General features: G+C 47.3%; 2 protein-coding genes across 10 annotated transcripts in view, besides 4 other annotated features; one reads left to right on the top strand and one right to left on the bottom strand.

Annotated features, from left to right (window-relative positions):
* The window catches only part of AGO2 (argonaute RISC catalytic component 2), a 122,158-nt gene extending 105,268 nt beyond the window's left edge, over positions 1-16,890 (top strand). For 5 of the 7 annotated variants that reach the window (XM_011516968.3, NM_012154.5, XM_047421697.1 and 2 more), the window contains 3 exons: positions 1,477-1,578; positions 4,431-4,630; positions 4,894-16,890. In XM_011516968.3, the coding sequence (XP_011515270.3) occupies positions 1,477-1,578; positions 4,431-4,630; positions 4,894-5,002 (411 nt within the window). In that variant the 3' untranslated portion in view covers positions 5,003-16,890. The remainder of the gene's footprint in view (positions 1-1,476; positions 1,579-4,430; positions 4,631-4,893) is intronic. The other 2 variants (NM_001164623.3, XM_047421695.1) reach the window with 1 other exon arrangement.
* Positions 8,595-9,094: an enhancer, noted in NCBI's record as "H3K4me1 hESC enhancer chr8:141538051-141538550 (GRCh37/hg19 assembly coordinates)". NCBI's record gives its function as "activates a minimal SCP1, AML or CMV promoter by ChIP-STARR-seq in naive H9 embryonic stem cells {active_cell/tissue: H9 hESC(naive)}" and the evidence as "EXISTENCE:reporter gene assay evidence [ECO:0000049][PMID:30033119]".
* Positions 9,095-9,596: an enhancer, noted in NCBI's record as "H3K4me1 hESC enhancer chr8:141537549-141538050 (GRCh37/hg19 assembly coordinates)". NCBI's record gives its function as "activates a minimal SCP1, AML or CMV promoter by ChIP-STARR-seq in naive H9 embryonic stem cells {active_cell/tissue: H9 hESC(naive)}" and the evidence as "EXISTENCE:reporter gene assay evidence [ECO:0000049][PMID:30033119]".
* A 3,001-nt stretch (positions 16,891-19,891) lies between the features above and the next one.
* Positions 19,892-25,724, bottom strand: CHRAC1 (chromatin accessibility complex subunit 1). 3 transcript variants are annotated; one of them, NR_040712.2, is made up of 3 exons: positions 25,021-25,050; positions 22,551-22,677; positions 19,892-21,920 (listed from the first exon to the last, which is right to left on the bottom strand). NR_040712.2 is itself a non-coding variant. In NM_017444.6 (3 exons), the coding sequence occupies exons 1-3, from the start codon at positions 25,544-25,546 to the stop codon at positions 21,799-21,801; spliced, it is 396 nt and encodes a 131-aa protein (NP_059140.1). In that variant the 5' UTR covers positions 25,547-25,724; the 3' UTR covers positions 19,892-21,798. The 3 variants fall into 3 exon arrangements, 1 of the variants encoding a protein (NP_059140.1); NM_017444.6 differs by lacking the exon at positions 25,021-25,050 and adding an exon at positions 25,400-25,724; NR_023360.3 differs by lacking the exons at positions 22,551-22,677; positions 25,021-25,050 and adding an exon at positions 25,400-25,724.
* Positions 24,662-24,971: an enhancer, noted in NCBI's record as "active region_28029". NCBI's record gives its function as "activates an Ori minimal core promoter by ATAC-STARR-seq in GM12878 lymphoblastoid cells {active_cell/tissue: GM12878}" and the evidence as "EXISTENCE:reporter gene assay evidence [ECO:0000049][PMID:35858748]".
* Positions 25,012-26,021: a silencer, noted in NCBI's record as "silent region_19580". NCBI's record gives its function as "represses an Ori minimal core promoter by ATAC-STARR-seq in GM12878 lymphoblastoid cells {active_cell/tissue: GM12878}" and the evidence as "EXISTENCE:reporter gene assay evidence [ECO:0000049][PMID:35858748]".

Here is a 26,029-nt window from a genome sequence, read left to right as displayed (position 1 = left end):
AATAGAAATCACAAAGTACTCAGAAGCTAACACAATCGAGAATGTCCTGTCAAGCCTTATGCAATGCAGCTGAAACAGTGCCGTCTGTAGATTCAGATGAATTTGTTGTACAACAAGAAAGAGGGCCATAAAAGAAGCCTAAAGACATAGGAAGGATGGGAATAAGAGACCTCAGTCCCCAGGAGTCAAGGGAAGGCTGAGGCACTCATGGCCTTGGGTGTCTTCCCCTGTCCCCCTTCCTCCCCGCTGCAGCCCCCAGATCTCTGTTGCCAGGAGGCAGGAGGGCTCGGAAGTCAGCTTGCTCCTGGTGACACCTACACGCCACTTCTCCATCCTAGAATGGAAAATAATTGAGGTAGAAACTGAAGAAGAAATAAAGCAGATGAACAAAATCCAAACCTACTTTGAAAAGAGATATTAGGGCCGGATGCGCTGGCTCATGCCTGTAATCCCAGCACTTTGGGAGGCCGAGGCAGGCAGATCATGAGGTCAGGAGTTCAAGACCAGCCTGACCAACATAGTGAAACCCCGTCTCTACTAAAAATACAAAAATTAGCCGGCCGTGGTGGCACATGCCTGTAGTCCCAGCCACTCGGGAGGCCGAGGCAGGAGAATCGCTTGAACCTGGGAGGCAGAGGTTGCAGTGAGCCGAGACTGCGCCATTGTGCTCCAGCCTGGGTGGCAAAGCAAGACTCCATCTCAAAAAAAAAAAAAAAAAATTGCAAAGAAGGGAACACACTGGAGATTCTTTTTTGTATGTATATTTAAAATGTGTACAACTAGAAAACATTCATCAGGGACCTTGCTAAATGCTGGAGCAGGGCTTGTGGGGTGGGGGTTTGCTGCTGGCGTGGCCATGCCTGCATCTTGGCTGACTTTTTGGTCCATGCTTGTGACCTTGTAATTAAACCATTGAATGGTTATATGTACCGCCCCTGGCCTCTGGGACAGTCTCTGATGGAGCCGCCCTGCTCTCTCAGGTGCTGGGCGCAAGCTACCGGCAAAGCACAGGCACTCCTGACAGCGTTCAGAGCCTCCCAGCGCCTCTGCCTGGAGCGCCGGTGTGCTTGTGCTTGGATGATGGCTTGTCCGCAGCCAGTCACCTGGTTTAGCTTTAGATGTGTACGTTGGTGACAGTTTCCATCTTGACCTCAAATCAAAATAGCACCAACAGTATCGAGGGACTCTTAAGGCATCAGAGGCACGTTCTGCAGTGAAAAGACTGCATTTAACTCATGGGCCTTCATGAGAGTTGGCGGAAAATAACCCCAGCCCACATGGAACATTAATTCATTTAACCTGGTGGTCAGCAGTTGTTAAATTTTATGTAACACTATCCTACCGAGGACCTGTATTAGCCAATTTAAAAACTTCAAAATAGGGCACCCTGGCCAGCGGGCGGCGCGGCTGCCTGGCCCGCCTGCTTGGCTCTGCCGGTCCCTGGCCGTGTCTAACGAGATGCCTGTGTTGCCGAAGGTTGGGAAAAGTGGAAACATTCCAGCAGGCACGACTGTGGACACGAAAATCACCCACCCCACCGAGTTCGACTTCTACCTGTGTAGTCACGCTGGCATCCAGGTAAGGCCGGGAGTCCCCTTCGGACAGAGTCTTGGCCGTCTGCCGTGTCATCCCCACATTCAGCAAACACTTGCACTCTGGCTGGCACGTGGGATGTGGTGTGAGGGGCCCACACAGGCAGTACCAGGGAACCGGGGAGCCCAGGCTGTGCCAGGCGCTGGGGTGGGGAGAGGGGCCTGGGGGGTGGGTCAGCATGAGCCTCCCAGAAAAAGGAAGTCCCATTTGGTAGGGCTGAGGAGCAGGGAGCACCAAGGGCCTTGGGGAGCCAGGGGTGTGGTGTGGCTGGAGCTTGGTGAGGTCTGAGCAGGATTGAGGCGCTGGGGCTGCCATGGGGTGGAAGCTGGAAGGCCACTGGGCAGCTGCTGCAGGGGCCGCATGGGGCAGACTTGGCGTCGATTCACGAGCACTTGGCGCAGTCAGCCTTGCCGTCCCCTCGCGCAATCACTGGCCAGGGCCAGGCTCCAGCCAAGGACTGGGTGCTCAGAGAAGGTGGCCATGGTGTTGGTTACCACCTTGAGGCTCTCCTGGGTTCCTTCATGAGGGGACCCCCATCTGACCCAAGGCGATTCTTGGGAGCACTGACAGGAGCAGGAGCACCACGTCCGTGGTAGGAGCTGCCCCTCCCCAGCTCTGCAGAGCCTCGCCCGGGGGACAGGAGGAACCTTAGTCACGTGCCGTCCCTGCCTGCAGAGAGCTTGATCAGAGGGGCTTTTGGTTTTTCAAAGTATAAGTAAGGACTTGAATATCCCTTCCTAAAGGATTTGAACCCTAGAGTTTGAGGATTTGCTATGAACTTTGTACGTACCTTTAATATTCCATTGGAAATATTTTAAAATGTCACATTGTTCACATGCCTGACAGAGAAGGAATGGGGGCTAGGGAACCGTGGCCTGTGGGCCGGGTCCAGCCTGCAGCCCGGGAGCTGAGAGTGGGTTTTGCTGTTTGAAGGGTTGTTGAGAAGCAGGCGATGGAGTGCGTGCAGGGTTTGTGGCACTTCCTGGTGCAAAGTGCCTGTCCCAGTGTTGGCTTGCTTTGCCAGGGCTGGTGAGATGGGCCTGGGGCCATGCCCTGCCTGCGTGTGCCCTCTGTTCAGTCTTCCCTTCTAGTCGGGGAGCCTCACCCACCAGGGCCTCCTGGGCATGTTTCCTGGGCAAACTCTTCTCCCTGAACTTTCTACCCAAAATCTTTCTAACGGGGGATGCTTCTCTGGTGAGCTATTTATGGCCCAAGGCTGCCACTGCTGCTGTGTCCTTAGCAGTCCCATGGAGACAGATGCCCTCACTCCCCTGGGCCCCTGTGACAGCCACCAGTCACACGCCAGGAAAGGGGTGCCGGAGCATGTGCGGTGGAGCATCAGGGACGAACGTTCCGCTGCCCACCAGCACCAGGGGCCTCGGCACAGGGCTAGACACAGAGCAGGTGGCAGGGACTGTGCTGGACAGGTTGTTGTCAGAAGGGCCTGCGAGGCTGGCAGGTGGAGCAGGCAGTGAGGCGGGCAGGCAGGCAGAGGTGGCAGAGAGGCCTGCAGTCAGCAGCTGGTGCTGCTTTCATTTCAAAGGATCTCCAACCGCAGGAGGTGTGTAAAATGGTACTCACGTTCACACTCTCACTTCTACAATGTTACTGCTAATGTGTAATTTTTTGTTGTTGTTTTTTTTTTTTAGACGGAGTCTCACTCTGTCGCCCAGGCTGGAGTGCAGTGGCGTGTACTCAGCTCACTGCAGCCTCTGCCTCCCGGGTTCCAGCGATTCTCATGCCTCAGCCTCCTGGGTAGCTGGGATTACAGGCGTACGCAACCACACATGGCTAATTTTTGTACTTTTAGTAGAGATGGTGTTTTGCCATGTTGGCCAGGCTGGTCTCAAACTCCTGACCTCAGGTGTTCTGCCCGCCTCGGCCTCCCAAAATGCTGGGATTACAGGCATGATCCACTGCACCTGGCCTAATGTGTAACTTTTATTAGAGGTCTTTTTCTTGCCATTATAAATCAATTATATAAAATGTAAGATACACAAATGGCACTGTCCTTGTTACGTCCACTTTCAATATTGCTTTATATCTTTTTTTTTTTTTTTTTTGGAGACGGAGTCTCACTCTGTCCCCTAGGCTGGAGTGCAGTGGCACAATCTCGGCTCACTGCAAGCTCTGCCTCCCAGGTTCATGCCATTCTCTGGCCTCAGCCTCCCAAGTAGCTGGGACTACAGATGCCCGCCACCACGCCTGGCTAATTTTTTGTATTTTTAGTAGAGACAGGGTTTCACCGTGTTAGCCAGGATGGTCTCGATCTCCTGACCTTGTGATCTGCCCGCCTCGGCCTCCCAAAGTGCTGGGATTACAGGTGTGAGCCACCGGGCCCAGCCTGCTTTATATCTTTGATATGATTTTTCTGTGTGTAAATAAATGTATACAGTTTTACAAATATGGGGCCATTTACTATATGTAGTTATGATGCTTTTTTTTTTTTTTTGAGACAGAGGAGTCTCTCTCTGTTGCCCAGGCTGGAGTGCAGTGGCGTGATCTCGGCTCACCGCAACCTCTACCTCACGGGTTCAAGTGATTCTCCTGCCTCAGTCTCCCAAGTAGCTGGGACTACAGGCGCATGCCACAATTGTCTAGCTAATTTTTTTGTATTTTTAGTAGAGATGGGGTTTCACTATGTTGGCCAGGCTGGACTCGAACTCCTGACCGCGTGATCTGCCCGCCTTGGCCTCCCAAAGTGCTGGGATTACAGGCGTGAGCCTCCGTGTCCAGACTATGATGCATTTTTAATAATACAAATATAAATCTTCTCCACAGTATCCTTTTAAAGATTTTATGCGAGTCCAACTGTCTAATCTTCTGATCTGCTTTAGGGGACAAGCAGGCCTTCGCACTATCACGTCCTCTGGGACGACAATCGTTTCTCCTCTGATGAGCTGCAGATCCTAACCTACCAGCTGTGTCACACCTACGTGCGCTGCACACGCTCCGTGTCCATCCCAGCGCCAGCATACTACGCTCACCTGGTGGCCTTCCGGGCCAGGTACCACCTGGTGGATAAGGAACATGACAGGTGAGTGGCATGCCTGGCTGGAGGTCACAGCAGGGGTGGTTTTTGCCACGGGTATTGGCAGCTGCTTTTCTGGAAGGGGAAGGGGCAGGGCCCCAGCGGCTGGAGCCGGCACCCCAGAAGGCCTGTTAATGGCACGGCCGTCAGCGTGGGACTCTTCCCTCTCCCAGGTTCCCGCCATGCCATCCCGACTTAGTGATCGACGCACTGCCTCATCGTGCATTAAGGCTGCACATTCTCATTCTCTCTCTCTCTCATCCCTGCAGTGCTGAAGGAAGCCATACCTCTGGGCAGAGTAACGGGCGAGACCACCAAGCACTGGCCAAGGCGGTCCAGGTTCACCAAGACACTCTGCGCACCATGTACTTTGCTTGACATGTTTTAGTGTTTAGCGATTGTGTACCGAGTGGGATTCACGAGACCAGCTACACTCAGACCAACAGATGGCCAGCCCTTCCGTGACAGCCAGCATCGAACATGAGACGTCATTGATTTTATTAGATTCTCCGTTTTCCAGAATGCCTTCCGTCCCAGATTTCAAACTTGGATTTTGAACTGCAGACCTGTATGAGAACCCAATGTCATAGGAAATATGGTTTGCTAAAATCTATAAGCTGCTTATTAAAACAGAGTCCCGTGTGTCCTAAAAATCTCCTAAAACCAGTCTATGAACTCAGGGCTTTAAAACATTTTTAATTTATTTGGTCATTCAATTTACTTGTTTTTAATACATGATTCTCTATGAAATTGATGGGCTCAAACTAGCTGTGAATCTTCTGAGAGTGAAAGCAACACAAAACACAAGTGTGGTTTTAAAGCCTTGAACATTCTGATGTTGTCACTAAAGTTGATTTCCAGGCGATGCTCGTGTGCCCCTGGCGTGGCTCACCCAAGTTCCTCGACTGAGGGCCGGTGGCCATGCAGAGGCGTCCGCAGGTGCCGTGTTCTGCCAGCACCGCCCTTCACCCGGCCTGAACTAAGGAGCAGTGGCAGAAGGTGGGCCCCGTGTGTTTACAGCATTTCCAGGTCCAGAGAGGTTGGCAGACAAGTGCCATTTTAATAAAAAATGTATTTAAAAAAAGAAAAAAGACAATATACTGACAGTCTAATCATCAGATTTGTCCTATAGGACTGTGACATTTATTTTCCAAAGTTTTTAAAGAATACGGGTCTGTGGTGATAAATACAGTACAATCCTTTTTCACTGTTATGTCTTTAATGTAAGAGAAGAATATATATATCTGGTTTGCAGTATTAATGTGATAGATAGATGCTGTTTTTTCATTTTATTGACTATGGGGTGCTTCTGTGATCTGTTTGGCATATCAAGAGTGTTTTGGAGCCTGGAGATGGGACCGCCTCTCAGTTCTTAGTGCTTAAGGACAGGAATATGCAATTGACTTAATGTGACAGCAACCCGCTTCCCCCGTGGAGACTGTGCAGCGTGTACCCATGGGAGGGACGGATGTGCCCTCCGCGCCGCTCGCCACCCTCCCTGCCGCCTCATCCCCGTGTGTCACTCACTCAGCTGATGAAGCACAAGTGGAAATTATTTATTCTTGCATTGCTGGGAAACATTGATGTGTGGGGACTCACTCCTCTCCGTGTGCTCTTTTGTCAGATGACTTCCATAGATCTATGCACTGAGATTCGTAGAAAGCTGTTGGTGGTGGCTCTGCTGGGCGTGAGGCCGTCGGTCACAGCGAAGGAGCTTGCCTGGCCCTGGGAGGCCCAAGGATAGCAGGGCCAGCAGAGGGCATGGGCCGTTCTTCTGGGGTTTGCATTTGGGGCCCCAGACTTGGGTTTGCCAATCTAGAAACTGTTGCACTAAGAGTGACACCACGGACGATTTTGAAGGCTAACAACAGACAACTCTGTTTGTGCTGAGTGGGCTTTTTGTCTCTGTACACAGTTTTAGTAAGACTCAAATCCATGTTCCGTGTAGAGGCGTCAGGAAGGAGGCGAGCCTCCCCTAGTGCTGCTGTGCGCTCCGTAGGTCCCCTCTTCCTGCTGCTGTTCCCTCCCCGGCCCTGCGCGACACTTACCTCGGCACTGTGGTGGGGTGGGGTGCCAAAGGAGCTGCCTCCTGCTCAGCGGCACCCCCCCCCCCACCTTTGTGCTCAGCTGCTTTGGAGGCAGCAGGAGGGGCAGCAAGCCGCAGGTCGGGGGTCTCCCGATACCTCGCCTGGATATTGGCGGCAATGACAAAGGGATGACTATTATTTGTGAAGATGTGTACTCAGAGTGGTGTGTGTGTGTGTGCATGCGTGTGTCCCTGTGTGTGAGTGTCTTATTAATGGCATTAGTCTCTTCTGGCTGTATTTTTTTTTAATCTTTTTAAATGACAGAAGCTCCCACTCTAAGAAATGGCAGTTCCTTTTGTTTTAGTGGCAAGTGGCACTTTCTCCTGTTTTCAGAAGGATACAGACATGCTCGTAGCTTAAATTAATGGATGCATTCAAGCTAAGGAGGGAATCTTGTGACTAATAACTTTTCAAATCTGAAATTAGATTAGTTTCCAGCCATTTTTACAATCATCTGGAACCATGTGTCTCAAAGGTGTGTTTCTTCCACCTGCGTCAGGCTGTCTGGGGGATGGCGGTTCTTGTTTAACATGCAGATTTGTGGGCCTGCTGCCACCTCCTGCGTGCGGTACTTCAGGGATGGCCAGGGCATCTGTGTCTAAGCGATGGCCTGCAGCCCTGGGCTCCCTGGGGTCTGAGGACCCAGCTCTGGTGGCACCCAGCAGGGAGGAGGTGCTTCCTGAGCAGATGCCTGAGACAGACTGGGCTGGCAGAAAAGTAGGACTACAATTTTTGTTTTTTTTAATCATTTTGAAGGAAAACTTTCATTTTTAGTGGGCCAGAGTACTTCGAAAAGGGTACTTTTTTATAGCCCTATGCTTGTTTTATAAAACTTTTAATACTAAAAACATTAATAGACCAAACATCTCCAGCTGGGTCAGCTGCACACCTTTGTACATGTCTGATGATTCAGAGTTTAAATGGCTGTAGTTACAATTTCTCAGGTAAACAATTGTTTTCTCAAATTTTTACCAATCCCTGCATTATTAGGATAAATTTTGAGACAGTGTAAAAACCTCAAAGTACAGTAGGGTAAGTCCCAGCCCTGTTCACGTGAAAGCCAGAGGTGGCCCTTCCCCGGCATCTGATCGTCTGATCATGTGGGTGCCTGGGGCCTTGCCACCCTTCCCTGTCCACTGCTGCCCCCCTGGGCCTGTCAAGATTTGAGGGGTGCCCACTCGCTGGCTTTGTCCCCATCCCACTGTTAAGTAAGGTGTGCCTTGCTTTAAGCAAACTGAATGTGAAAATTATGTGTAGAAGTCTGGGTTTGTTTAAAAGAAAAACTGGGATTTTATCTCATCTCTTTAAAAGAGGTCTCCCAATTCGATTTCTGTACTGGGACTCTTCCTGGTGTGTTTTTACATGTTCACTTTTTAAAAACATTGATGTACTCCCATCCTTTTACCACTACCCTATCACATTTGACAAGTTCTTGCTGTAATGACGACGCAATTAACGAACACCAGGGGAGCGGTGGAAAGCTGCCCTCGTGTGTGAGCCCTTCGGTGACGCAAAGCCACCGTCCTGTTGTTTTGTGTGTCCTAAGCTCAGATTTTCCTGGTTTGGATAAATTTTGTAAAACTGGGCATAGCTGTACTTTTAGAAAGGGATCGTTTTCCTTAAGTTTTGGTTTTCTCTGGTTCAAGCAGTCTTTACATGCAGCCTTTTGATTGCACATCAGGGTCTCCCTTTTCTTTTCCAGATGATGTTGCTTTTCGGTGGTGGTCTCACACTCCTTTGAATGAATGTTTGCACTCTAGAACCACAAACGATGCGTGACCATTGTACAGCTTGCCCAAGAGGGAACTGTTGGAAGCAGGCAGTGACCTCCACGCTGTTTGTTTGAGGCTGACCTAAACTGCTATCACTAATGTTTACCCCCGTGACGGAGTGCCCATTAGAACAGATCATGTCAGTTCAGTTCCTGTAGTGGGGTTAGTAGGTGGGGGGTTTTATTGTTGTTGTTATTTGTTACTTTTATTGCTGTTAAATGCAAATATTGCTATTTATTTTTTCCTTTCTGCTCTGGTTTGGTTTGGCCGACACAGATATTCCAGTGCATGTGGTACCTAATGGATATGATAGAAATTATTTCCCCAACTTTTATAAATTGCCTAATGTTTACCTTCAAGTTTGCTGGATGATTTATTTTTGAAAGCCACAAATGTGATTTTTCTGGATGAATTGTTTTTCTTATATATGCAGCAATGTAATTTTACATTGATCTGCGGGGTGGTTTAAATTTTATTTTTACAAGGCAGTTTTTCAGTCAAATTATATATTTGATACAATACGCTAGGATAGACCGGCCACACGTCAGGCAGCCGGGACACCGGAGTGTCCCCAGGAGGCCTTTGGGGCTGGGGTGGCCCGTGGCTTGTTCCCTGCGCCTCTGGGAACTGGATGAGTCCTTCGGCGGGACTGTGACCCGCTGGACAGTTAAAAGGATTTTTCATGGGCATTTTCCTACACATAAGGCAGTTCCATTAGGAGGAGCTTTAGAAGTCGACATAATCCAGACAGTGGACAATCCCAGTGGCCCAGACAAGCCATACGACATTTTCCTGTGACCTCTCTCTGACCCATCTCTCACGCTCATGAGAAAAGGAATGTACAATAAATAGAAACAGAAACTTCCTCAGTGCTCATGCGCCTCACTTGCAGAACGTGAGTATTTCATTTATGTTTGAAGCCCTTCCCCAAAGTGACCGAGGAGTTGCACTCTAGCTGCCGTGCCAGCAGTCTCGTCTGCTGTGACGCTTCTCGGTGCGGATGCAGTGCACCTGTGACTTTGTCATGGGGGTGCCCCTGTTACACACACACACGCTGACTCTTTTTTATGAGGAAAATCTTCGACTCAAAATAATTGCACTGATTTTTTGACAACTTCTTTTTACGATGTCCCACTTCGCATCTGCTGTACTTGTTTGAGATGATTGTAAATAGATTTGTGGTAGGAGAAGTGACATGAATGCAACACGTGGCTCTGTTGTGGAGACACTGCCTCGTATTCAGTATTATGTGTTAAAGTTGTGTGGACTTAACTCTGTTCCGCCCTTTAGCTTCGTGTCTGTTGACCATTTATGAAGGACAAGTTCGCCTCATTTTCTTTTTCTTCTGAAGGGAAGTTCTAGATCGGTTACTAGGAGAACATGGTCTCTTGGTGCCTGATGATTTAGTCCTAAGCAGACTCGTTGCAGTCTTGTGAACACTGTTGTGGTCTGTTTGATTCCTCGTCGCTTACCGTGGCTCTCCAAAGCATGGTCTTTGAGTTCCACCCAGCCTGGGACAGTCCAGACGGGAGGCATCTGCTCCGCCTGCTACTAGGACGCAAGGGCCTCCTTGCATCTCTGTGGTCAGAGTCATCTTAAAGCCATGAGGTTACTGTCGTGTCAAAGCTGTCATTTGTGCCCGTTATTTTGCTGGAGTAGCAGCGTGTGCTGTAGCCCCCGTGTGTCACTCTGTGGTCAGGCTACCCTGTGTCACACCCAGCAAGAAGTTTTTCAGCCCCAGACCAGTCTGTGTGTGTGTCCGAGTCACACCAGTGCCATTACGGTGCCCTCGCTTATGCTTCTTTCAGTATGTTTTGCCATGTTATTGTCTAAAGTGAATGTATTGGCTTAGCCAAATCACTACAGAAGGTGGTTCCTAAATACCTTTTAGTTTAAAAAAAAATGCAGATAAAGGCTACCTCTGAATTCTCAATAGATTCATCATGTTTGCTCTTAAGTGTAGCTGTCCACACTGAAAACAGCCAATATGTTGCCTGAATAAACTGAATTGTGAACATCTATCTGTTCAGTTCTGGCTTGAAAATGTGTGTGCCATACTGTGACCCACGGGCAGCCCCTCCTCCTCTACTGTGTCAGGTGGACCAGGGTCACCTCTGTTCTGCGCAGCTTTGAGATTCTAGGATTCTACGGCCGGCACGAATGGCATGGGAGGGTTCTCTGCACGGGACGGCATAACGGCATGCCATCCTTCAGGCTGGCAGGAGCCTGCGCAGGTGTGGCAAAATCTTGAAACAGCCTGTGTCCTGCCTGGCTTTTCACTTTCCTATTTAATATAAGAAAGCACTTTTTTTTCTGCTTTACCTACAAATGGGTTGAAAATGGCCTCCTCTGTCCTCTCCTCTCTTTTATACACTCTGTAAAATCACAAAGGTGCTTCAACACCGACTGTCATGCAAATAATACATTTAAAATAGTTGCATGGTTTCAAAGACAATGCAGACGTAATTGGCCTTTGACTTTGGGACCTCGGGTTACTCTCACTCCCTACTGCAAAACAAACTAAGGGTTGAAAGCAAAGCATTCTGTTCAAATCCAGGGCCCTTTGTTTGAAAAGAACACAGGGCCCACAGCTGGTGTTTTGAAGTAGAAGTTCCCACTAGTGGCGCAGTGGACCGTCTGATGCAGACTTGCAGGAAGTCGGTCCTGGGAGGCTCTGAACACCCCTCCCTGTGATTAACCACTTTGCTGTCAGAAATGTCATTTTCCCATACACTGTGCTGTGGGCCCGGGGCCTCCTTCGCTTCTTTCTTTGGGTTCCATATGTTGCCCGATCTTGAGGTTAGCGCTCGCCCCAATTTCTCCATGAGTTTACTCTGAGTTGACAGGCGATGATCTGACAGTTGGAGGTGTCTGGGTGTTTGGAGGTGGCCCCGTTCTCATGTTGGCTGCTCATCAGACATTGAGTTTGGCCCCGGCGGTTCTACTACGTCACTACCTGGAAGCAATTGCCTTTAACACTCTGCTGTTTGGGGTTTCGATGCTTTTTATGCTGCGTTGCGTGCTTTCATTCCGGAAGAGCTAAGTGTCCTTTGCAGTCTCTCTGAGAATGTTTTGTAATTCTGCCGCCACGCTGTTCTGTGCGGACCGACCTCAAGAGGCTTGGGCCCCCGTGGGTGTCCCACTGCCTGCCGGCCCAGGGTACAGGCTGCTTGGGTCCGCTGGGCTGGCCTTGGGCTGTCAGAATCTGGTCCAGGGTGTTTCGAGGGGACACTGCACAGCCGCTCGCCCCTCGACTCAGTCATGGGAGCTGCAGCACGCAGATCCACCGCAAGCTTCCTGCACGCGCATCTCCGGAATGCTGCGCTGGGCCCTCCCACCATCTTCGCGTTTGTGAGAATTTACTCAGAAGTGAGAGAACTGAAGATTCCTGGTGCTTTTGTTAACACGTTTCTATCTTATTGGTTGGTGTGGAAATGTTAGATGTGTTGTTAGGTTTTTAAATGCTGTGGGTGGTATGATTAAAGGGTTAAGTCCTCACCTCAGCCCCCAGCCCCCTTTTGGGGGGTAGGAAGAGGCTGAGTTATCTCCTATTTAAAACCTCCTTGGATTTAAGTAGTTCAGAGTTAAAGCTAAAACACCAAATATTAACTCTTTCCCCCAAGTGTCTCCAGGAACTGGACGTTGGGGCCATTCTTATTCAGTTCTTTCTGTAGCTCCAAGGTCCTTAAAATGAGTGAGTTGATCCCAAGAACACCCCACAGCACCAACCAGCAGGGCACAGTGCAAGCGACTTCATAGATCGGGGTGCTCGTGTAGGGGTCCGGGGCTCCTTTGAACTCTGGGAGTTGTGTGCGCAGTCTTGGGTGGGAGACGGCAGGTCCCTCTGTCCCAAGAAGCTGGTGGTGCCAAGGCCTTCCTCTGTCTCCATCAGTGCCAGCCTGATCGCGTTCTGGAAGACCCAGTCTCAGACTCTGTGCCTTTAAAGTCCGGTCCTCAGTGTCCTTTCAGAATCATGTTGGGGCTGCGTTTCTCTGGGGAACTAAGCCTGTGCCATTCCACAAGGCAGGCGTGGACCTCCAGCCTTGGAAGCTTTCTTTCCGCTCCTCAGCCCCTGACTTGTAAACTGTGATGCCATGCAGTCTGGAGCCGCGGGGGACGCACTCGGTCTCATTGCGGAAAACACTTGGTTCCAGTCGTGTGGTTTCTCCCATACCCTGACCAAGTCCACCTCTGCCAGGATTGCAGGAGATTGGTGCAAGACCCATCTCTTATGCATTGACCATGACCATCAGCAAAGCCTGGTGGTCTTGTTCTCATAGTCACTCGAGAAGAATATTTATTGTAATGGAAGTAGATTTTTTAAAAAAGGAATTGGAATCATGTCTTTGTAGAATGTGTGTGTGTGAAGTCCTCAGCTGTAAGGTGCTATTCAGTCCTGTGACCCTTATTTTGGAATGCTCTTCATTACTGTTGCTCTGTTTTGTGACTTCCTGGGAAACCGCTTACTTTGGTGTGGTGTCACCTTGAGCTGTGCACATAGGACACCAGTTTTGACTTAACCTAACAGGCAGTTTTTATCTCTAGCTTTTTCAAGCCAGGTATTGAGCAGTTTCTTGGCCAATGGCCTGAGAAACCACCTGTCCCTGTCAAGGGGTGATTTTATTGGTTTTAAGTGGGGAAGTAATCCCATGTACTTATTTCTTAAATACCTAGGAAGTTCTTCTTGGTGGCTCCTCTTGGCCCTCCCCTCTTTCTCCCCCAACCCACCATCCTGCAAGGCAAGGAATGGCCTCTCCCTCCACAGAGGCAACGGCTGCAGAGGGAGCACTGTGGCTGCCATCCCAGTTCCTCTTCAAAGCCAAACAGACACGCGTGACTCAAATCCTACAGTATGGAGGGTGGCGTTGCATTGAAATTCCAGGCCTGAGTTTGATAGTGGATTTTAATGTAGTTGTTAAAGGTATGAATTCATGTTTTATAACTGTAGAGGCAAGCAAGTTTTTATTTTTTAAAAAGTTTTGAGAGAATAATTTATAAGTTTCTGTGCAGCAAAGTGGCTAATTACTCATTAAATACAGGAAAAGAATGTAGTATCTAAATCCAGCTTTTTCTTACCTCTGGTACACTTCAGATTACTTACCTAATACATATTGAGGGCTTTTAACCCTTAGTTTTATCAATTTTTCTAGTTTTATTTTATTTTTATAAAATAATTGAAAAAGAACCAAAAATGAATTCAGAAGTTCCATAGATGGATTTTTGCCCCTTCTTAATTTTCTCCCACAATGAAAACATTTTAGAAGACATTTTGAATCAAAATGTATTATGACCATTGAAAGTTCTCTATTTTCTAAGAAGCTGAGCAGCTCCAAGGGCCTCGTTTCAGGTGGTACTCTATGTATTGTCTGTGGGCTTGTTTCTACCTGTACAGTGGAACCATGTGACCATGTCTTGTGCTTGCAATATAGAAACCATGCAGTGCTGTTTTGTGAATTGGCAGTTTCTGTATAAACTCTTATTTATATACATTGGCCTCTCTGTATGATTTTCCATTTGCTACATGAATTGTAAAATTAATTATAAAATTATAGTACCTGCTAAATACAATTCTGAGGCTTCATGTCATTGTCTTTAGTTGAATACCATGCTGTGTGTCTTGAAGATGTCCACGCTTGCATGATGCTAGGTGGCAATGCCACTTTAAATTAAGCCTTAATCAGATGTTAAATTTGTGAGTTTCAGAGTATGCAAAAATATTAGGCAGAGTGAGTGTAAACTGTTCAGATCAAGATGCTGTATCATAATTCAAGTTATTTTTTTCTGGAGTTAAAGGGAAGCATTCAGTGATACACCTCTCTCTCTCTCTCTCTCTCTCCCCCTCTCCCCCCTCCCCCTCCCTCTCTCTGTCTCTGTCTCTGTCTCTCTCTCTCTCTCTTGTCTAGCTTGGCTATGGCCATAGCTTGATGAAAATGGACCATTGTGCATTTCTGTGACAGTCAAAAAGACCTGTTCTAAAAGTCTTGCGACTTTTTCAGGGTTTTTTTTTTTTTTCATGTTTCTTTTTTTTTTTCCCCTCCAGTCTGAGATTTCTGTGTGGCTGATGGAGAGTGTGATTTGGGCGTAGGTCTTATTTGCAAACCTGCTCATGTTCTAAGCTTTCTTCAGGTAGTACCACCTGTCATCGCTTCTGCATATGATTTAAATGGATTTTTGTTTTTATAAAAGTATCATAAATTTAGAGATAAAATGGAGGGGACCCAGCTTTCTTTACAATGTGGATCTACCTCAGTTAAACAGTTGGGTGCTATTACTAAGTCTGTCAAATTAAATTGGAAAAAGTAACCAAACAGTGAGATACAACTCCACATGAAACTTGAAATTGTAATTTCCGTTTATTTAATGATATTTTTATTTATTTGTGCCTTTTATGTTGAACCCCAATGCATTGAAAAAATTCAGTATGAAACAGTACATATTTTATTTATATTACAGGTGGGAGAAAAGTCCAATTGGTCATGGAATTTGATAGACTTTTCCCCAGCCAACTGCTACAGTGTATTATAATCCCGACTGCCCCCCTGTGAAAAGAAAAAAAAAAATGTCCAAGAGCAAATTTAACATTTTACAAACAATAAAGTCCAAACTCCTCTATGCACATATTTATAGCTTATCACTTCATTTTCTGTGCCAGTGAAGGGGTGGCCAGAAAAAAAATCCCAAGTACCCTCATCATTGCTTTTCTAGCCATTCATGCCCCCTCTTCCTCTGGCACATTTTCTAAGAGTTTATTTCATAAGCAGCAAACGGACTGTTGTCGATTTCATCTCTCCTGACCTACCTGGTGGAGGTGCTAATGGCCATGGACAGAAAGGGGCGAGCCAGAGCTCGTGGCTTTGTGGAGGCAGAGGCCTGCATTCAGCAGCGGCCCTGTGTGCCTGTAAGTTAGGAAGGCTTTCTGACAGGTAAGAAAATGAGATAGGTTGATGACTTACCATGCTTTTATATTTGGCAGTTTACAATTCTAGACTTTTCCTACTATGGCGATCTTTTTTTACTTAATTCTTTGGAGGTAACAATATTTTGGAGTCTTAAGAATTTGATTTTATACCAATAAGAAATAAAAATTAGGGATCTTTCCTGTAGTATATAGTTTTACTATTTTAAAGAGATCTCTGAATTTTACAAGAGAACCAACATTCCTTAATGGCAGAACTTTGAAAGTTGATTTGGGAGGCTTTTTGCTGCAGGATCTCAAAAATAGAGAGAGAGATGATTCTACTTAAATGTTTTTAATTTTCTAACTTCCATCAGGTTGATACTTAAGCTCTATTTTGTAAAGAGTAAATCATCCTTTAGTATGCTGCATAAGATGATCAGCATTCTTGCACTTTCTCAGTAATAAGACGTGCCGGGCAATTGGCTCCCCAGGACGCATTGTGTTTTTAACCTAACGAGAGGACTTTGGGGCAGGTGATTAAATTTATATAGGTACCTCAAGAAAAAGAACCTGAATATGCTGCATTTTCTTTCTTTAGCTTTTACATGTAGCATTTTGTTTTGCTTTTGTTATTTTTGTTTTGATATATGCTTTTTGGACCCCAATAGACTGTTGAAAGAAATTTAAAAATTACTCTTGTAGGGATATAGTATCCTTAAAAAATAAAAATTTAAAAAAATTTAAAAAAATTGCTGCAATATCTGGCTCGAAGGTTGCCCTATATTAGAATAATACTTTAGCCAAATACACCTGAGGAGGCAGACACTGTGTTTATAAGCAGACAATAATGTTCTGAATCCTTCCTGTTCATGCTGCTTTCTTAATTCATTTCTCCATGTCATCAAGAGGTTGGATAACTTATTTCTAAGCTCAAGGTTAAAAATCATGTCACCTTTTTTTTTTTCCCCCAACACAGACCTCAGAAAAATTGCGATTGAGGAAGTAGCATGATCCTAAATGTGTTGCTGAAATCAGGCAGCCCGAGCCTCTGGTCTCTCCAGAGAGCCCGTCTTCACATTTCTCTATTCCTCAGCACTCACCCGAAACTGAACAGATGGGGAGTGGTCTTGATTGTCAAGATAAAACTGGTGAAGAAAGCTAAATGCTGAGAAACTGAGCATCTATTGTCGTGTTTAAGCTTAGCTGGGTCCTTTCTAGTTTGTTTTTACAGCTTACTAGGTGAAGTAGTTTGCACTATTTTTGCAATAAATTCATGGAAAACCTAACAGTTACTTGTTTTGTTTCTTACTGTGTGTATATAAACTAATACTAAAAGTTTGGCATAGTGTTTTTTCACCTCCTTACATAACCCCTAACATGCACAGAATGCTGTAAATCTGATAAAATATGATGTGAATGATATTTTATAAAGTTATTTTGTATGGTGTCAATTTTGTTTTGCCTCATAGTATGTCAGCAAAAAATTAAATAAAAGTCCTCCTATTTACAGCTGCCTCTTCCAAAAATCTTCAATTCCTCACCTACTTCTTTAGGCACTTCCTTCTGCACAGGTTATGATTCCAGCTCCCGAGGCAGAAGCGTGCCTTCAGGGATGGAAGTCCAGAGCCCTGTTCCACAAACAGAGGGCTGTTCCTTGAAGAATGTACTTGGCAGAGCTGGGCATTACCCGAGGATTTGGGTTTGGGGGATGAGAACCACAGGCATGAGTTGGACTAGTGGGAGCAGCCATGGTGTGTCGGATAGTTGGCTCTTTCTGCTCCTGCAGCATGAGAAAGGATCAAGAAGCCATTCAGCTAAGCCCGTCACAAGCAAAGTCCTGAGTTCCGTGTTGAGTGTGGGAACCTGAGCTGGCACCGTCCTGGTTCGCGGCCTGGCCAGCCACTTTGCTACTCTGTCCCGGCTAGGTTTACGCACATTGGCTACTCTCAAATCCCTGGTGGCCTCACCCTGACTGGGCTGTTTTTGACTTCTGCTGTCTATACTGAGATGACGACGTGCTGGGAAAGGAAAAGGGGGCTTTTCCTTTTTTTTTTTCTTTTTTGAGATGGAGTCTCACTTTGTCACCCAGGCTGGAGTACAGTGGTGCAATCTCAGCTTACTGCAACCTCTGCCTCCTGGGTTCAAGCGATTCTCCCACCTAAGCCTCCCGAGTAGCTGGGACTACGGGCCTGCACCACCACCATGCCCGGCTAACTTTTGTATTTTACTAGAGACAGGGTTTCATCATGTTGGCCAGGCTGATCTTGAACTCCTGACCTCAGGTGATCTGCCCCCCCTCGGCCTCCCAAAGTGCTGGGATGACAGGCGTGAGCCACCGTGCCCGGCCAGGCTTTTCCTTTTCTTAAGAAAGCCCCCAAATGGCAGCAGATCCCTAGGCTGTACATCACTGCTGAGGCAGGCCAAGATTTTGTCCTTATTTCAGGTTTCCAAATTTTAAGAACAATGTTACAGAAAAATGTGAAAATTCAGATAAAGAGCTATCTCTAGTCACGACACATAGGTAATTAACCTTAACATTCTGATCTATCTTGTTCCGCAGTCTTATTTTTTTAAACAAAAATCAAGATTTACTTTTTTCTTAATGTATCTAGAACCCTTTACTACTTCTTAGTATACAAAGCACCTCTGTGCCCACTGGCCCTGGGACATGGTAGTCAAAACCGGAAGAATACACAGAAACTCATCTACAGCAATATACTCACTTGATATGGCCTTTGTTATATTCTCGCTATTTCACCATCATTTACTGAATGGCCAGAAGCAGTAATGGTTTAACACTTGCAAGCGAGAGCAAAAGATTCATCTTCATAAAATCATTTTGATAATCTGACAGCAGTATGCAAGGTGGAAAGAGGAAAGGCTGTAGGCACTGTGAGGAAACCACTTAGGAAGCTACTGTAACAACCTGGCACCCGGTTCAAGGAGGAACTGAAAGGGTGAGTGTTCCCTGAATGATCGGATCTCAAACACTTATGGTGCCTTAAGAATGCTTCAGGCTGGGTGCAGTGATTCATGCCTGTAATCCCAGCACTTTCAGAGGCCGAGGTGGGTGGATCACTTGAGGTCAGGAGTTCAAGACGAGCCTGGCCAGCAAGGTAAAACCCCATCTCTACTAAGAATACAAAAATTAGCCGGGCATGGTGGCACACACCTGTAATCCCAGCTACTCGAGAGGCTGAGGCAGGAGAATCACTTGAACCTGGGAGGTGGAGGTTGCAGTGAGCCGAGATCGTGCCATTGCACTCCAGCCTGGGTGACAGAGCAAGACTCAGTCTCGAAAAAAAAAAAAAAAGATGCTATTAAGAGAATGAAAAGTGACTGGGAGAAAATGTTTGCAAATCTCCTATCAGGCAAATAACTTGTATTAAGAATATATAAATCTCTCAAAACTCAACAAAAACTGACATGAATTTTTGTAGGAGCTGCAGAGCCACTGGAACTCACTACTGGTGGGACTGCAAAATGGCACAGCCACTTTGGAAAACAGTTTGGCAGTTTCTTCTTATAAACGTCTGTATCGCATTCCACTCATAAGCATATACCCAAGTAAAATGAAATCCCGTGTTCACACAAAACCTGTACACAGGCCATGCACAGTGGCTCACACCTGTAATCCCAGCGCTTTGGGAGGCTGAGGTGGGCGGGTCACTTGGTTGAGCTCAGGAGTTCGAAACCAGCCTGGCCAACATGGCAAAAATCCATCTCCACTAAAAATACAAAAATTTGCCAGGTGTGGTGGTGGGCGCCTGTAATCCTAGCTACTCAGGAGGCTGAGGCAGGAGGATGGCTTGAACCTAGATAGGAGAAGTTGCAGTGAGCCAAGACTGCGCCACTGCACACCGCCCTGGGCAGCAGAGTTTGCGAGACTCCATCTCAAAAAACACAAACAAAAACCCTGTACACAAATACTTATAGGGCTTTATTAATTATAGTCATCAAGGCCAGGTGTGGTGGCTTATGCCTATAATCCCATCACTGGGAGGCCGAGGTGGGCGGATCATTTGATGTCGGGAGTTCGAGACCAGCCTGGCCAACATGGTGAAACCCCATCTCTACTAAAAGTACAAAAAAATGAGCCAAGTGTGGTGACGCCGTGCCCGTAATCCCAGCTACTCAGGAGGCTGAGACCCAAGAATCGCTTGAACCCAGGAGGCGGAAGTTGCAGTAAGCCATGATCATGCCACTGCACTCCAGCCTGGGTGACAGAGTGAGACCCTGTCAAAAAAAAAAAAAAAAAAAATTACAATCATCAAAACTAGAAACAATCTAAATGGGTAATTATCCATATACCTGGAAAATGGATAAACAGATACATCCATACAATGGAATCCTACTCAGCAATATAAAGGAATGGACTGCTGATACCTGTGACAACACGGATGAATCTCAAATGCATTCTGCTAAACAGAACAACTGCAGACTCAAATGCTACATACTGAATGATTCCATTTATATGACATTCTGGAAAAGACAGGCCACCAAACTGGTCTGTAAGCCAAATCAAGTCATTTTTTAATGGCACATAAGCTAGCAAGTATTTACATTATTAAATGGTTGGAGAAAACAGTATTTCATGACACATGAAAATTACACAAAACTCAAGTTTCAGTTTGCAGAAATAAAGCTCTATTGAAACACAGCCACCTGCATTCCTTCATCTAGTAATTACCTGGCTGCTTTCGTGCTACAACAGCTGAGTTCAGCAGCAGCAACAGAGACTATAAAAGCCCACAAAGCTTGAACTATTTACTGCATGGCCCTTTCCAGAAAAAAATTTGATGACACCTGGTATAGGGACAGAGAATAGCTTGACGGTTGCCACGGTAAAAGGTGGGGAAGGAGCTGACCACAGGGAATTTACTGGAGGGTGATATAGCTGTTAATTGTGGTGGTGGTAGTGACTTGACTGCATTTGCCAAAACTCAGAACTGTACACCAAAAAGTAGATTTTAAAATATTTTATTTTAAAATAAATGTCAATGAACAAGAGGGACAGAAAACACCAGTGGTTGCTAGGGGGCAGGAGAAGAGAGGAACAGAGGAACAGAGGGGAATGTCCTGGGTGGCAGAACTGTCCTATCGATTGGTTACAAAACCATGCATTTGTCAAAATTCACAGACTAGACACTAAAAAGGGTGATTTTACTGAATGTAAATTATAAACTTTTTCATTTTTAAAAAAGAGATAATGAAGGCCAGGCATGGTGGCTCACGCCTGTAATCCCGGCGGCACTTTGGGAGGCTGAGGCAGGTGGATCAGTTGAGGTTAGGAGTTTGAGACAAGCCTGGCCAACATGGTGAACCCCGTCTCTACTAAAAAATACAAAAATAGGTTGGGCATGGTGGCACACGCCTGTAATCCCAGCTACTCAGGAGGATGAGGCAGGAGAATCACTTGAACCTGGGAGGCGGAGGTTGCAGTGAGCTGAGACAGCGCCACCGCAATCCAGCCTGGGCAACTGAGTGAGAATCTGTCTTTAAAAAAAAAAAAAAAAAGATAATGAAATGAGAGGAGCCAAACATTTACCCTAAGTGGAAAAAAAAAATTGGGCTTATGATAGGTTTTCTCTTATAGACAGTAAAAAGAAGTGCCAGGAATTTAAAGCAAAGAACAGTAAGATGAGAGAGATCTCCAATATACAAAATGTTTCAAAATTTTTTTTTAGTACAACATGCTTATACAAGAGGTAAGACTTATTTTTGTATTTGATTTGATAATTTGACTTGGAATTTTTCTGTGGGAATAAAAGTGTTAGAATGCTTATTTTTAAATTTCTCAAAATTTGCAGGCAGTAAGCAAGGCCTTAAAGCCATAGAGGGCTCTAAAACTAGTTCCATAAAGCATTTTACTGTAAAAATATGTACAGATCTTTAATAGAAAAGTATATTTCTTTACAGTAGAAAAATATCTGAACAGTCAACTTTTCTTAAGACAAAAATTCAAATGTAACATACTACCTAAACTATAAATTTAGCTAAAACTGAATCGAGCTGTTTATAAGAACTGATTCCAAAATATACATATATGAATTTACATAACCGATATGTAGAAGCTCTTCAAAATCGACTGTAAATTGAAAAGTTAAAATTGGCCTTGCCTCTGCAGTTTGGAGCTGCAATGGCTGCCAGTATCGGCTGTTTTCTTGGTGCCTGAGCTGCAGGGTGGGCCTGTCGAGGAGGGGCTGCTGTCTGGGTCGCTTTCCCTCTGGCTGTCTGTGGCGTAGGTACATGAGGTGCTCAATCTCGGCCTGGAAAGAATACCTCGAAAGAATACCACACACTGGAACTCTGTGAAGAAGTGAAGACGCTAAAAGCGGGCAGTGCTGTGTTTACTTAGAGACAGTGGAGTGGGTCCAGGGCTGTCCTCGCCAGGCTGGTTTTTAAAGCACTTTTGGTTTAGGAGTCAGCTTCATCATGGTCACTTTCATTATCATTGTCATTCTCCTCATCTTCTTCCCTCTTTTCCTCTTTAAGCATTTTCAGGTATTTACTAGCTAAAATCTTCTTTGGTAATATATCTTAAAAACATAAAGCGTACATCAGCAATTGGTTATGGTAGACTATGAACACAGCAATGCACATTTCAAAATGTACTAGTTCCTGCTTTGACCTCTATAAGAGGTTCCAAAACAAGATGAAATTCAGGCTGCATTTCTGGGTAAAATATCAAAGAAACTAGCATTGTCTCCTAACGAACGCTATAGGCCTCTTTCCAGTCCAATGAGTACAAACCATGGTGTCTCTATGAGCTGCTTTTATGAGCAACCCTGCCCGACTACCTGAGATAGCCTAGGCTAGCCCCAGGGTAGACTTAAGCTCTAACTACGGCCATGTAGACCCACCCTGAGTTTTCCCTTCAGTGGCAGGCAGGGTCCCTGTAGAGAGTAAAGGACTGCCCAGCATACGCGGCCAACCAACATCTTGTGAATGTTGTTGGCTTCACTATTGTTCTAGGTGGACCACATGACAAACACATTCAAACAGAGAAGACTAAAAGTATCTTCCTGTGACAACTCATAGTACTTTGCGGCTTGGAAAAAGTAGCAAAAAGTCTAATTTTCCGTGAGAGCAGAAGGGAGGCAAGGGGTGGGGAAAGAGCTATTGATTACTAATCATTTTTTAACCAGAATGTTTCAAAGACTAAGTACCTGCAAGAAACTGAAAAGTTTCTGATTGCTGTGCAGTGTTTGCTAAATCACTGTAAGTCAGTACTTTCTTTTCCTTTCCACTGCCGTGTCTGTAGGAATAGGTGGCTAGGCATTGAACAAAGAGCTCCTAGAACAAAATGAAAAATGCAAATGAAAGGTGTGCTTTGAAAATGTACCACAGAAATTAATTTTTAAAATTACATTGTTGATTCCTTAATTAGGCTTAAAAGTATATTAAGACTTCAGATTCTCTTGGTTTCTCAAATTAAATTACAAGAAATCACTGGGGAGGCCAGGCGTGGTGGCTCACGCTGGTAATACTAACACTTTGGGAGGCTGAGGCAGGCGGCTCACTTGAGGTCAGGAGTTTGAGACCAGACTGGCCAACATAGTGAAACCCCATCTCTATTAAAAATACAAAAATTAGCTGGGCATGGTGGCGGGTGCCTGTAATCCCAGCCAGCGGGAGGCTGAGGCAGGCGAATCGCCTGAACCTGGGAGGTGGAGGTTGGAGATTGCAGCACTCTGGCCTGGGTGATCAAGCAAGACTCCGTCTCAAAAAAAAAAAAAAAAAAAAAAAAAGAAATCACTGGGGAAAAGAAAAACATGAGGTCAGAAAGAAAGCAAAGCCAGTATCAAAATTGGCGGAGAAGCAGGCATTTTCCAGAGGCTTATTTTAGATGTCTAACTTACGAAAAAGATGAATCGTAACTGTTTAATGACCAACCTCTAGAGTAAAAGAAAGAAGCGGCCGGGAGCTGTGGCTCAGGCCTGTAATCCCAGCACTTTGGGAGGCCAAGGACGGCGGACCAAGGATGGTCAGGAGATCGAGACCATCCTGGCTAACACGGTGAAACCCCGTCTCTACTAAAAATAAAATAAAAAAAAAAAACAAAATTAGCCGGGCATGGTGGCGGCTGTAGTCCCAGCTACTCGGGAGGCTGAGGCAGGAGAATGGCGTAAGCCCGGGAGGCGGAGCTTGCAGTGAGCCGAGATCGCGCCACTGCACTCCAGCCTGGGCGACAGAGCGAGACTCCGTCTCAAAAAAAAAGAAAAAAAAATAGAAAGTAGCAAAAAGCCATTCAAAAATTCTATTTGGCTCAGGAATACCTTTTTAGTCTTCTATTTGCATACACTGTTTCTAAGGTGGTTCACCTACAACTATAGTGACCACAGCTTACATTTTGCCAAAACTTTTCTATTCTAGGAACTGACATACAACCCTCAGACCTAATGAAACAACCGGAACTGATCTTCTCCCTCCTGCATCCCAGTTCTTATAGCAGGGCCAAGTCTTCATTTTTACAGAGGCTGAACTGAGCCTCTTTCTCAAGGTTTTGACTTTAATGCATCTAGTTCAGTTAATAAGGGATGAGAAAGACGGGCGTGATGGTTCACGCCTGTAATCCCAGCACTTTGGGAGGCTGAGGCAGACGGATCACCTGAGGTCAGGAGTTCAAGACCAACTTGGGCAACATGGTGAAACCCTGTCTCTACCAAAAAATACAAAAATTAGCCGAGTGTGATGGCAGGCACCTGTAATCCCAGCTACTCAGGAGGCTGAGGCAGGAGAATCATCTGAACCCGCGAGGCAGAGGTTGCAGTGAGCAAGACAGTGCCACCGCACTCCAGCCTGGGAAACTCCATCTCAAAAAATAAAATAACGGGTCAGAAGTGCCTGCATAAATCCTCATTCCTTAATACCAATAGAATGAAATTGTATAGGAAAATACAAATGTCCCCAGATGAAATGCTGAATATGCAATTATTTCCCTGGGCTCTAGGAAAACATGGCTCTGACATAAAGCGGGCAAGAAACCTGTAATTTCCCACTTCCCTTAGTTCTAGTCCAACACTGCAGGGACATCATATACTTAACTACAAGTAGGGACTGGAAAATAGAATCCAAGACAAGCTAAAGCATTTAACTGTGTAGCTGAAACATGGCCCAGTGTCAGAACAGGAAAACATCTGGCCTAACACTATCGAGACGCAATTTTTTTAAAAAAAGACAAAATTATCTATTTTGCACCCAGGAGGATGCTAAGCAGGCTGTAAAACTTAAGTTCCCCGGACTTCCTTAAATTCTGGTTGGGGAATGTGCTGCCTCTTAGACGAGGGGCCCCAGCTGTGGCGGGCGGGAGGGCTCGAAAGCCTCGGACCGCTGGAGCTGGCACCGCACGCGCGGGAAAAGAGCCTCGAGTCGCGGGTGAAGCGCCCGGCTGCCCCTCCCACGGGACACTGGAGGAGTTAGGGCCCTCAAAGCACGAAGCAGTCCAGTGACAAGAAAAAGGCAGGCCGGGAGTAGGGAGTCGCGGGTGAAAGAGCCCCCAAAGAACCCAAATGAGAAGAGCGCCACTAGGCGCCGACGCCCACGGGTAGGGCCGGAAACTGAGCGCCGCACGCGAGGGAGGACGTGAGCGCACAGGTGGGAGGGACGAAAGGCGCGCAGAGGAACGCGGGAGCTTACGGGTTTGCCGAATGGAAGCGCGAGAGAAACGGCGGGAGGACAGTGGGGTGGGCGGGGCGAAGGTGCGCACGGAAGGAAGGGGCGGGCGGAGCGAAGGAAGGCGACAAAGGGCGGGAGAGGCGCGCGGTAGGCGAGGCGAAGAAACTGGAGAACGTGAGGGAGCGGCGAGGGGTGGGCGGGGCGAAGACGCGCGAGAAAGTGTGGGGGCGCGCGGGCACCGAAGCGCGCGCCGGCGTGGGACGGGGACAGCGGGGCGCGCGCGAGCCCGGCAAGAGCAGCCGGCGGCGCGCGGGCCTAAGGGGACTGGGCAGTGCCCAGAGCCCGGCGGGGCGGGGCGCGAGGGGTAAGGGCGGCCCACACCCCCGCCCTGCCCCCTCACCGTGGCCTTGGCCGTGAGCACCAACGCCTCCTGGTTGATGCTGGACACCTCGGGGGAGCTCTTCATGATGACCCGGATGCGGGATAGAGGCAGCGAGATGAGCCGCTGCTCCCCGCCCTTGTCTTTACCCACGACCACGTCCGCCATCTTCCCGCCCGTCGCGCGGGTGCCCGCAGCCGGCGGGCCCGACCGCGAAGTGGCTGCCCTGCCCGGCCAGCTGGTGGGTACGGGGAGCCGCGCCCGCTGCCCCGTGGGAGTTGTAGTGTGGGGAGGCGAGGCCGCGAGGCCGGGAGCGGCCCGTCCGGGAAACTACGAGCTCCGTGAGGCCTCGCGCCCCCGATCTGCGCATGCGCCGACGCTCGGACACCGCCCCCGAGTGCGAGGCCCGGCGCGGAACCGGCAGCCGAGAGCCTGGCGGGGGCGGGGCGCACCGCGCCGCTCCCGGGAGTCTCCGGGCTGCGGTCGCGGAATACGACTTTGATCCGCGGGTGAGGGCTCTGTGAATGGGCAAGCAAAGCCCTCTGACTCCGGGCCTCGTGGCTGGGTGCTGTGTGTTAAGCGCCTGCGCTGTACTAGGACCGGGCGTGCCGCCGTCGGCAAAAAGTGACGCTTTCTTGAAGCACAAAGTCC

The sequence above is a fragment of the Homo sapiens genome, chromosome 8, assembly GCF_000001405.40.
Source record: "Homo sapiens chromosome 8, GRCh38.p14 Primary Assembly".
NCBI lineage: Eukaryota > Metazoa > Chordata > Mammalia > Primates > Hominidae > Homo > Homo sapiens.
This window is presented reverse-complemented; position numbering and strand designations above follow the sequence as displayed.

Coding starts and splice junctions, on each gene's coding strand:
- CHRAC1 (NM_017444.6), bottom strand. CDS start 25,546: ATGGCGGACGTGGTCGTGGGTAAAGACAAGGGCGGGGAGCAGCGGCTC. Junction 22,678..25,399: donor TGCTCACGGCCAAGGCCACG/GTGAGGGGGCAG, acceptor ATTTTGTTCTAG/GAGCTCTTTGTTCAATGCCT. Junction 21,921..22,550: donor AACTTTTCAGTTTCTTGCAG/GTACTTAGTCTT, acceptor TATGTTTTTAAG/ATATATTACCAAAGAAGATT.